Here is a 12,217-nt window from a genome sequence, read left to right as displayed (position 1 = left end):
TTTTATTTTTTAATCTACTCTAACACTTTGTTTCTTAATTTGTGTATCTAGACCATTCACATTTAAATTGATTGTTGATAAAGTTAAATTAATGTCTATCATGTTTGTAACTATAATTTTGATGTTTCAAGAATGTTACATAAGTGGAATCATACAATATATAACTTTTGGGGATTGTCTTTTTCACTCACTTTTCTAAGACTTTTTCACACAATATTATTCATCCAGGTTGTTGTGGAGATCGATAATTCATTACTTTTCATGGGTAGGTACTTTTACTTTTGCCGTAGGTAGTTCCATGCTAAATTTTTATGGAAAATGCCAGAGTGGCTATACCATTTAATATTTCCACCAGGAATACATGAGTGATTCATTTTCTCTGCATCCTTGTCAGCATTTTCTATTCCCACTATTGTTTTATTTTAACCACTCTGGTGGATGTGTAATGATATCTCATTGTGGTTTTAATTTACATTTTCATAAAGGTTAGTGATGTGGAATATTGTTTAGGTGCTTAGTCTCCATTTGTATATATTCTTTGGTAAACTGGCTTCATACAGTTTTTGTATGGTCTAGATTGGATTGTTTGGGTTTTTACTGTTTAATTTTGAGAATTCTTTATATACTCTATACTCTTTTTTTTTCTTTTTTCTTTTTATTTCTTTTTTTTTTTTTTTTTTTTGAAATGGAGTCTCACTGTCACCCAGGCTGGAGTGCAGTGGTGTGATCTCGGCTCACTGCAACCTCTGCCTCCCGGGTTCAAGAGATTCTCTTGCCTCAGCCTCCTGAGTAGCTGGGACTACAGGCGCGTGCAACCACGCCTGGCTAATTTTTGTATTTTTAGTAGAGACAGCATTTCACCATGTTGGCCAGGCTGGTCTCGAACTCCTGACCTCAGGTGATCCACCCGCCTCGGCCTCCCAAAGTGCTGGGATTACAGGCATTAGCCACCGCGCCCAGCCCTGTGTACTCTAGATTTGATTCCCTTGTTGGATATGTCATCTGCAAATACTTTCTCCCACTCTGTAGCTTGTTTTTTCCTTCTCTTAATAGGGTCTTTCGTAGTACAAAAAGTTTTAATTTTAGTGAAGTCTAATTTATCAATAATTTCTTTTATTGATCATAATTTTGTGTGAAGTGCAAAAAACTCTTTGCCTGGTTCTAGACCCCAAGATTTTCTCCTGTTTTTTGTTTGTTTGTTTCCTAAGCCATTTTTTCGTTTTTTTGTTTTGTTTTGTTTTTGTTTTTGTTTTTTTTTTTTTGAGACAAGGTCTCGTTCTGTCACCCAGGCTGGAGTGCAGTGGCGGGATCTCTGTTCACTACAAGCTCTGCCTCCTGGGTTCACAGCATTCTCCTTCCTCAGCCTCCCGAGTAGCTGGGACTACAGGCGCCCACCACCACGCCCGGCAATTTTTTTTTTTTTTTTTTTTTTTTTTTTTTTTTGTATTTTTAGTAGAGACGGGGTTTCACCATGTTAGCCAGGATGGTCTTAATCTCCTGACCTCATGATCCGCCCACCTCGCCCTCCCAAAGTGCTGTGATTACAGGCATGAGCCACCGTGCCTGGCCTTTTTTTCCTAAAAGTTTTATACTTTTCGTTTTATACTTAAGTCTGTGATCTTTATTGAGCTAATATGAATTACGAGACTTAGGTAAAGGGTTATTTGTTTTGCTTTTGTTTTTAATTTTTTTGCCTATTTATATCTAATTATTCCAGCACCATTTGTTGAAATGACTGTCTTTCCTTCCTCGAATTGCTTTTGCACCTTGGTCAAAATCAGTTGCTCATGTTTGTGTGAGTATATTTCTGAGTGCTATATTTTATTCTATTGACCCATCTGTTTATCCCTTCACCAATACCAAGAAGTCTTGATTACTTTAGTTGTACTGAAAGAGTTGAAATTGGGTAGATGGATTCTTCCCACTTTATTTTTTCCCAAAATTGTTTTGCTATTCTAGTTAACTTTGCATTTCCTATAAATTTTAGGTTAATTTTTATTGCATCTGTAAAAAAACATACTTGCTGAGATTTTAATAGGAATTGTAAGCTTCTATATCAGTTTAGAGAGAATTGACATCTTTTCTATGTTGTCTTCCAATCTGTAACTACAGTAGCCATTTATTTATCTTTTGATTTCTTTCATTAGAGTTTTTTTAACTTTTAGCTTATAAATTCTGCACAAGTTTTGTTAGATTTACAATTTATGTGATCCTTTTTTTGAGTGACTATGAATTGAATTGTATGTTTAATTTCAGAATGTATGGTTTTATTGCTAGCATATAGAGATACAATAGATTTTTGTAAGCCTGAATTTACTTACCAGTTTTGGGAGGGTTTTTTTTTTTTTTTTTTTTGTAGGTGCCTTGAGATTTTCTATGTAGGTAACCATGCTATCTGTAGGTAAGGATCATTTTATTTCTTCCTTTCTGATCTGCTTACATTTTACTTCCTTTGCCAGTCTTATTGCACTAGCTAACACCTCCAGCACTATGTCAGATAAGAGTGGTGAGAGTAGATCCCTACCTTCTTCCAGACATTAGAAAGAAGGCATACAACTTTCACCAGTAAGTATGAGTAAGTTGTAGTTTTTTGTAGGTCTTTATCTAGTAGAGAAAGTTCCCCTTCTATTCCTATTTTTCTAAGCATTTTTACATAATGAAAGTTCCATTTTGTCAAATGCTTTTCCTATATTGGGTGATGTAATTCTGTGATTTTTATTCTTTAGCCTGTTAATAAGTGGATTACATTGATTGATTTTTGAAAATTAAACCAACCTTGCATCCCTGAAACAAAACCCATTTGGTTATGGTCTATAATTATTCTTTTTTTTTTTTTTGAGACGGAGTCTCGCTCTGTCGCCCAGGCTGGAGTGCAGTGGCGGGATCTCGGCTCACTGCAAGCTCCGCCTCCCGGGTTCACGCCATTCTCCTGCCTCAGCCTCCCAAGTAGCTGGGACTACAGGCGCCCGCCACTACGCCCGGCTAATTTTTTGTATTTTTAGTAGAGACGGGGTTTCACCGTTTTAGCCGGGATGGTCTCGATCTCCTGACCTCGTGATCCGCCCGCCTCGGCCTCCCAAAGTGCTGGGATTACAGGCGTGAGCCACCGCGCCTGGCCTATAATTCTTCTTAATTGTTTATGAATGCTATTTGTTAATATCTTGTTAAGAATTTTGGTCTATATCATGAGAGATATTGACCTATATTTTTGTGTATGGGGGTTGTGGTCTTTTTTTTTTTTTTCTTTAGACGGAGTCTCACTCTGTCGCCCAGGCTGTAGTCCAGTGGCGCGATCTCGGCTCATTGCAAGCTCCGCCTCCCGGGTTCACGCCTTTCTCCTGCCTCAGCCTCCCGAATACGGCTAATTTTTTGTATTTTTAGTACAGACAGGGTTTCACTGTGTTAGCCAGGATGGTCTAGATCTCCTGACCTGGTGATCTGCCTGCCTCGGCCTCCCAAAGTGCTGGGATTACAGGCGTGAGCAACCGCGCCAGGCCGGGGGTTGTGGTCTTTTGTGTGTATTGTCTTTGTCTGGTTTTGCTATTAGGGTAATACTAGCTTCAAAAAATGAATTGTAGTATCCCTTCCTCTCCTATTTTCTGGAGAGATTTTGTGGAATTGGCATTAATTCTTTAAACCTTTGTTAGAATTCTCCAGTTAAGCCATCTGGTCTGGAGAACATTTTGAGGGAGTTTTTAAATTTATAAGTTAAATTTCCATAATAGTTGTAGGGATATTTAAATTACCTATTTCATATTGGGTTTTCTGATAGCTGTGTTTTGGAAATGATCTGTTTCTTCTAAATTGACAAATTTACTATTGTTCTGTTGTACTATGTGTTGTTGTTCATAGTATTCCCTTATTGCCCTTTCTACATACGCAGTTTCCTTAGTGATACCTCCTGCTTCACTCCTGATATTATTAATTTGTGTTTTTCTTTGTCAGTCTTTCTAGAGATTTCTTAATTTTATTTATCTTTTCAAAGAGCTCTTTGTTACATTGATTTTCTTTATTTTTGTCTTATTTGTAATTTCATAGATTTCTGCTTTTATCTTTATTATTTTCTTTCTTCTCTTGGGATTTATTTTGCTCTTCTTTTTGGGGGGGCTCTTGAGGTGGGATGTTGTTATCAATTTGAGACTTTTCCTCTTTTCTAATGTATGCATTTAGTGCTATAAATTTCCTTCTGTGCACTGCTTTAGCTGTGCTCCACAAATTTTGAAGTGTTATACATTCATTTTCATTCAATTCAATGTATTTTTCTTATTCCCCTTAAGACTTCCTCTTTGATCCATGGATTATTTAGAAGTATGTCATTTTCCAAGGGTTTGGATATTTTTGTGTTATCTTTCTATTATTCATTTCTAGGTTGATTTCTTTATGGTCAGAGTACACTGTATGATTTCATTTCTTTTCATTTTGTTGAGTTTTTTGTTTGTTTGTTTTAATGTCTGTGTGTTTGTGTGTGTGTAGCCTAGAATATGGTCTATCTTTGTATCTGTCCATGGACACTTAAAAAGACTGTGCGTTCTCCTGTTCTTGGATAGAGTATTCAATAAAAGTTGATCATATCTTGTTGCATTATAATGTTGTTGAGTTCTGCTATATTGTTATTTTTTCTGTCTAATCATTCTGTCAATTGTTGAGAGTGGTGTGTTGAAGTTTCCAATCATAATTGTGATTTGTCTGTTTTTTCTTTCAGTTCTATCAGTTCCTGCTTCACATATTTTGCATTTCTATTGTTTGTTATATATACATTTAGAATTGTTAGATCTTGGTGGATTGATGCTTTTATCATTATATAATGTCTTTTCTGGTAATTTCTTTGCTTTCTCTGAGGTTTATTTGATAATGATATCACTGCTCCTGTTTTTGGTTGATATTTGCATAATACACATTTTCTCATACTTTTACTTTCAAACTGTTCATATCATTACATAGACAGCATATAGTTGAGTTATGGTTGTTATTCCATTCTGCCAATATTTGTCTTTAGTATATTTAGACCATTTCATTTAATGTAATCATTGATATGGTAGTGTTTATGTTTGTCTTTTTTGTTGTTATAGTTTTCAGTTTGTTTTTTCTCTATCTTCTTTCTTTTTGCCATGGATTATTTGAACTACATTTTCCACTAGAACTCTCATACATCTCCTGTATGATAATTCCAACATCTATGTTATATATGACTCTGATTCTGAGGCTTGCTGGCCCTTTAGTTCTCTAAACTACATTTTTTCCTGCCTTTTGCTATGCCCTTAATCTATTGTTCAAAGTTGAACCTGTTGTATCAGGTGACAGGAACTGAGGTAAGAAAGCATTTAATTTGAGAATTTATGTTACTCTAAGAGTTAGGCCATGTTTAACGTTGCTTTAGCCTTTAGCTGTGGGTCTCAGAGGCTTTAGATTTTTCTAGTGTCCTTGTTTTTGTCTCATCTTGACTTTCGGTTTCCCTTAAAGCTTCTCTTCGGAAACGGTTTATGTCTTGTAGCGCTATTATCTGGGATCTAGTGTTATTATATTGAGTTCCTGTTGGTGTGCTGGTAAGGTGTGGGGTAGGGGGAGCATTCTATTATCTTCCAATTAAATCTGTTTTTAATTGGGCCTGTGTCTCCGGGCTGTAACCTTCACAAATGTTTCCAAAGTGGTAAACTTTTTTTTTTTAATGCCCTCGACTTCCTTCCCTGGTTGTAGTAGTCTCAATCTATTTCCCTGAAGCCCTGACACCCAATGACTATGTTTCTTCCTCCCTTCCTCTTTCCAGTGAGATAAACTGGAGTAAACTGGTAGGGAAGGAAGTTCTTTCTCCCACGTGGGATCGGCTCCTGTGCAGTGCTGTGCTCTGGAGGATAAGCCTGTGTGTTTTGCATTGTTTAATCTTCCCCACCTTCTACCAGAGCCGTGAGGGGATGTTTCTTGATCTTCACCATGAGAACCTAGTGGGGTTTCTGGAAGTAAAACCCCTGAAAGTGTAGGCCCTTCCCTAAGACCGTGGTGCCTGTGAGTTTCTTAATCTCATGGTAGGCCACCCTCAGCCTGTATAACTTCATGAAAATTATCATTTAAATGTTCCTAGGAGTTTATGGCCACAGCACCTTTTGCCCCACAGAAGCTAATCTGCATTGTGACTTTCTGGATGCGCCTGTCGCTCCGTAGTCCAGAGTTTTCTGTGACCGCTGCAATATCAGTGATCTGATGGGTTGAGACGAGCCATCAGTTTTCTGTTTATCCAGCTTCTTCTTCTTGTAAAAATAACTTCCAAGCTTTTTACATGCCACAGCAGAAACCAAACGTCTCTGAAGTCTTTCTTTCAAATCACAAGCCATATTTTGTACCTTCTCTGCCCAAAACCCTGTAATGACTCACCACTTCATACAGAGTAAAAGGCAAACCCATGACACTGGCCCAGCACCAACTGGTCTCCGTTCTTGCTCTGACCTCCTCTTCTGTTCTTCCTCATGCCCAACCCAGGTAGACTTGCAGTTCCTCCACTATGCCAGATGTGCTGCCACTGGAGACTCCACGCTCTGTTTCCTTTGTCTTTAAATGTTCCTCCCTTGATATCCACTGGACTCGATCCTTTTTTGAGCCTTTGCTCAGATCTCACCTTTTCAGTCAGGTTTGCCCTGACCCACCCAGTTTCATATTGTAATTTTACCCTACTTCACCGTTCACCCCAGGTTTCCAATCCTTTCACCCTTTTAAGTACTTGCACTACTTTTTACCTTTTTGTCATAGCCGTCATCATCTTATAACACACTTTATAATTGTTTATTATATTATTGTATCTCCCACTATTATTAAGTTCCTTGAAGGAAAAGATCTTTGTCTCTTTTGGTTACTGATAGAACCCCAATTTGCAGAACACAGTCAGGCACAGAGTAGATATGAAATAAAACTCCGGAATGTTGAATATTGCTCTCTTACAATGACTGTTCATTAGCATATCCTAAGTCACTTACAGAGGCTGACTTGAACTCAGTGCTATTCGAGTCTGCACAGGCTCAGGAGTAAAGACTGGTTTGCAGAAGTTCCATGCAGCCACTGCATAGGCAAAACACATTTTCTGGGCTTTCAGGGATACATTTGCACTCTCAGCTGCCACCCAGGATGGTTCAGGGAAAGAATTTCACAAGCTCTGCACTATGCCTGAAAACAAAGAACACACACCTCTAGTGCGTCTGTGTTCCCAGGAAGACCGGAAATGCCTCAGTGGTGAGACCACTGCTGTATTTCTTTCTTTCCTACCTTACACAACATCTTACAAGAGGCAGGCTCGTAATAATTACTCAGCACATATTGACTGAATTCATTTGAGAGCTTCCGAGATGGAAAACTGTTTTTTTGAGAAATAAACTCTTAGCTTGGATGCAGGGGTTGGGTGGCGTTTTATTATTCTAGAGAGATGCTGACTCATAGTGGTGGGGGAAGGGAGTACGGGGAGAAGCAAGGCTTTTAGACTGAGCCTATGGATTACTTAGATTTCCTCCTCTGGCTTCTCAAGGTGTATGTTTTGATTTTCTTGGCTTCTTATGAATCTTGTTCAGCTGTCTAGCTGCTGCCTGCTGTCCTGTTCACAGTGGGGAGTTAGCACAGGGCCAGTAGAGCTGTGAGTTTGTTGCTCTGTGCTGTCTAGTCATCAGAATCCCTCTTGCAAAACCAGGAAGAATAAACCACAATCTGCTTCTAGCTGTAAATCTACCCTGGTGATGACAAGCTGATGTCACCCAACTGGCCAGCTCACTGCGTTGTGACCACAGCCTGTGGCTGCATTCTTAGTGTTGTATTGTGTAATTGCAGGAAAGTGCCTGCACAGAACCTACACATCCCTTAAAGATTTACAGCCTAACACATCCACTTTCTTGTCTTCTCCTCCCTAGGACGGCACCCACACACAAAGAGGATGATTTCCCTTAACTCAAACCATGCAAGTTACTGCAGTTCATCTCATGGGAGGGGCTGAAATACACGCTAGTAACTCCTCTGCCCTTCAGCCTTCAAAGTAAGAGTCAGCTTTTTCTCCCCATTTGGGACATCAAGCCTAGCATGTAAGACTTAAAATTTTTTTCTTCATTTTTGCTTAATTCTCATGCCAAAGTATACTATAATAAATATGTGAATTTAGTTATATTGTTCAAAGATCTACACAGACACATTCATCCCGCTAACACATCAAAGAAGTATTTACGAACGCCCATCTTTTTAAAAAGTTTGCAGCATTCTCTGCTGAAAGAGAGAATTCTCACTGGTTAAATGTTGCAGTCCCTCTGGGCAGTGATGTGCCTTCATTAATAGAGAGAATTGAAGAGCCAGAGCTGGTAAATCTTCTAAGGAGCAGGGAAGTAAGGTGTGCTTAAGGCACAAAGGCTACTTGAGTGGCTTCAGGAATTCAAGACAGGTGACAACTCTAGACTCACTTGCTGAAAGAATTTTGAAAACCTTGCTCATTCAGCACCTAGGAGTGCCCTCTGAAAGGCCCTCCTTAAAGTGCTTCCAGAATAGAGAACTCAATCTGGTGAAGCGCCAGGGAAGCCTTTTCCTTGCAAGGCTGACCACTGGCATGTGCCTTCCTGTGCTGGCTGTAGGCATCTTGTTTTATAGGATGTACATTTGGAACCTGCAGATTTCAATTCTATACCAGGTGCTCATATTTAGGACAAGATCTTCAAGGTCACAGATTTTCCCATTCTTTCTTTCCTTGAACTAGCAGTTTTGGAAGTACTTTGAGTGGTCCAAACCATGGTGTTTCTACCTTAGGTGAAGAAAGGCTATGAATGAGACTGAGATAGTTACTATAAAATTTGAAACATCCAGGGAGGAAGAGAGGATAAATACCTGTCTTATCAGAAAAAGCAGTGGCAATTGCAAAGATGTGACATGTAAATGAGAATCATGAAGTAATCGGAAAAATTCCATTGAACCCAAGCTCCTATAGCCTATGCGCTTGATGAACTGGAACAATACCTGAGGCCTTCAGTCACTTGTTTCACTTTCTGAAAAGCATTAACTGAAATACCTACTATGATCCTACAAATCTTCTAGAAGATAAAAGTAAAACTGTAAATAATACCAGTGCCTGCTGCCAATGACAGTGCATTCTAATGGGGGATGCAGGAGAGACAGACATATAAAAAATAATTTGGGGCTGAGTGTGGTGGCTCACACCTGTAACCCCAGCACTTTGGGAGGCCGAGGTGGGCAGATCGCTTGAGCTCAGGCATTCAAGACCACCCTGGACAACATAGGGAGACTCCATCTCTACAAAAAATTCAAACATTAGCTAAGTGTGGTGGTGCTACTTGGGAGGCTACTTTGGAGGCTGAGGTGGGATGATCGCTTGAACCTGGGAGGTTGAGGCTGCAGTGAGCCATGATTATGCCACTTCACTCCAGCCTGGACAACAGAGCAAGACTCTGTCTCAAAAAATAAAAAATGAAAAATAAATAATTTTGAAACAATCTCATAAGTGCAACCAGTAAAATAACCTGTATTTATGAGTACTTATAATATTCTGGTTCTTGAGCTAAAAATGTACATGGATGACCTCATTCAATCTTCACAATAAATTGCTGAGGTAGGTAGGCACCAGTCTGCTGTGCAGATGAGAAAACTGAGGCTCAGTGGACTGAAACCCATCTCACAACTAATAAGAGGCAGACCTAGCATCAGAACCCGGGTCTGACTCCAGTGCCCATTCTTGCTGCCAAGATTCTGTACGACTTTCCGTGTGATAAAAAATGATATGCCAAATATTTTAAGAGTCTCTAGAAGGAGACAAGTGATCAGGGCAGTGGAGAGAAGGATAACAGGATAATCTTTGAGGGGATGTCACTTTGAACTACTTCTTTATTCCATTTTATTTCTTCTACTGACATATTATTTGTGCCATTTAAAAGTCATTCTCTTATATTAGGAATATAAAAGTTAATTCGTCAGTATCTGCCTTTAAAGGTATATGTGTGGTGTTGTTACACTACACAGAAAGTGGTATATTATTTAAATAATATAAATTTAAATATATATTAAATTTAAATAATATTACGTTTAAATAATATACCACTTTATATGTAGTGTGAGGAATTTTAACATTATTTCTCCTTCCTTTCCTTTGTGCTATTATTGTCATATATTTATTCTTACATATGCTAAGAACACACAATCCGTTGTTTACTATTCTTGCTTTAGAGGAAAATTGCTCTTTTAGAGCAATTAAAAATTTCTAAACATGATTTTAATTTATTTATTTCATTCCCAATGCTCTATATCTTTGTGTAGATTCAAGTTTCTGACCTGAAGTTTTCTTCTGCCTGAAGAACTTTCTTGAACAGCTCTTGAGTGTAGGCCTATTGGCAAGACATTTTGTCAGTTTTGTTTGCATGAGAAAGTATTTCTCTTATATTTTTGAAAGATATTTTTGCTGGGAATAGAATTCTATGTTGATAGTTCCACAAGATGGCAGTTCTCCCAGCCATCTTAGCACTTTATAGATGTCCCTCTATGACCTGCTGGCTTGCATGGTTTCTGAGGAGTCTTCTGCAAGGCTTACCTTTGTTCTTCTCTGTGGAATATGTCTTTTTTCTGGCTGCCTTCAAGATTTCTTTTTGTCGTTTGTTTTCAGCAGTTTGAATATATGTCTTTTGTTTCCAGCAGTTGTTGCATATGGTTTTTGTTGTTTGTTTATTTATTCATTTGTTCATTTGTATATTTATGCTCCTTGGTACTATCTGATCTTCCTTTTTTTAATTTTTTTTATTTTTTGAGACAGGGTCTCCCTCTGTCACCCAGGCTGGAGTGCAGTGGCACCATCTCAGCTCACTATAACCTCTGCCTCCTGGGTTCAAGTGATTCTCCCACCTCAGTCTCCTGAGTAGTTGGGATTACAGGCATGTGCCACCACAGCCCGGCTAATTTTTATATTTTTAGTAGAGATGGTGTTTCTCCAGACCTCAGGTGATTTGCCCGCCTGGGCCTCCCAAAGATCTGGGATTACAGGTGTGAGCCACTGCGCCCTGCCTGATCTTCTGAATCTGTGGTTTGGTGTCTGTCATTTTGGAAATTTATTGGCTATTATTTATTCAAATATTTCTTTTGTTCTGCCCTCTTCCTCTTCTCTTTCTGAGGTTCAAAACATGCCTATGTTAGACAATTTGGTATTGCTCTGAAGGTTTTGGATACTCAGTAATGTTTGCAGTTTTGAACTCAGTTGTATTTTTGTGTGTCAGTGTGGGCCATTGCTGCTGACCTGTCTTCATGTTCACTGATTATTTCCTCGACTGTGTCCAGTGTGATGAACCTGTGGAAAGAAAGCCTTCTATATCTGTGACTGTGTTTTTCACTTCTATCATTTCCACTTGACTTTTTATTTTATAGTTTCCATCTCTCTGCGGAGATTACCCATTCAATCTTTCATCCGGCGTTGTTTTCCAGTACAGCCCTTAACATATTAATCACAGTTCTTTTAAATCCCCTGTCAGATCGTTCCACTATATGTGTCATCTCTGAGTCTTACTTTGATTACGGCTTTATCTTCTAGGAGTGAATTTTTTTTCTTGCCCTTTTGTGTGCCTCATAATTTTTGGTTGACAGCTGGATGTTCTGTGGAGGCCCATAGAGACTGAGGTAAATAGTTTTTATGCCTGAAAATGTGCATACATTTCCTTTGCTAGACTTCTGATATGGGGGGAGGAGTTGAATGAACCTAGTTGGCGAGTGGGACACTGTTGAGCTTTGTTGTTGCTGTGGTTATCCTCAGGGCATCATGGACCCTGAATTCCTGGAGGGATAACTTGTGTTCAGGTTGGAGAGTGAGGCGGGGTTGCCAGAGTGAAGTCTGCTGGGTCCCCAGCTTTCAGGCTGCACCTCAGAGTGGCTGCATGCTCTTATACCTTTCCTGTCCCTCTCCCATTGGTATATGTTTTACTCTTTACTTGCAACTTGTTACCTTGGTGGCAGGGGGTGGGACACGGAGGACATTCTGATTAATTTTCTAATGAAACCCCTTGGTCTCAGGGATGCATCCTGAGCTTTCCTCTCTCCCCTGTCTGTAATCCTGGGCCCAGCAGGTGTTCCTGCCCCTTCCTCAGAAGGAGAGTTTCTCATTTTTAAACAATCCCTTCCCTCCCAGCTGCAGTGAGTTTTCATCAGTGCCCTAAAGACAACAGCATTTATTGACCTTTCCTCCACAGATTACAATTTTTGTTCCATTGGAGAGTTGGCA

The 12,217-nt window shown here is 39.2% G+C and overlaps 1 protein-coding gene across 8 annotated transcripts in view, besides 1 other annotated feature; it reads left to right on the top strand.

The window, feature by feature from the left end:
* Nucleotides 1–12,217, top strand: part of PCNX2 (pecanex 2) — a 343,895-nt gene that overhangs the window by 206,483 nt on the left and 125,195 nt on the right. Inside the window, exon 22 of one of the 8 annotated variants that reach the window (XR_001737430.2) lies at nt 7,881–8,048. The exons of the other annotated variants lie outside the window; for them this stretch is intronic. The gene's annotated coding sequence lies outside the window, so the exon portion shown is untranslated. The remainder of the gene's footprint in view (nt 1–7,880; nt 8,049–12,217) is intronic. 8 annotated transcript variants of the gene reach the window in all.
* Nucleotides 5,046–6,245: an enhancer, noted in NCBI's record as "CDK7 strongly-dependent group 2 enhancer chr1:233250348-233251547 (GRCh37/hg19 assembly coordinates)". NCBI's record gives its function as "activates an origin of replication core promoter dependent on BRD2, BRD4, P300/CBP, MED14 and CDK7 cofactors, with strong dependence on CDK7, by STARR-seq in HCT116 cells {active_cell/tissue: HCT116}" and the evidence as "EXISTENCE:reporter gene assay evidence [ECO:0000049][PMID:35650434]".

This window comes from Homo sapiens, chromosome 1, assembly GCF_000001405.40.
Source record: "Homo sapiens chromosome 1, GRCh38.p14 Primary Assembly".
NCBI classification, from domain to species: Eukaryota; Metazoa; Chordata; class Mammalia; order Primates; family Hominidae; genus Homo; species Homo sapiens.
The sequence above is the reverse complement of the archived record's forward strand: the minus strand, read 5'-3'. Positions and strand labels throughout refer to the sequence as shown.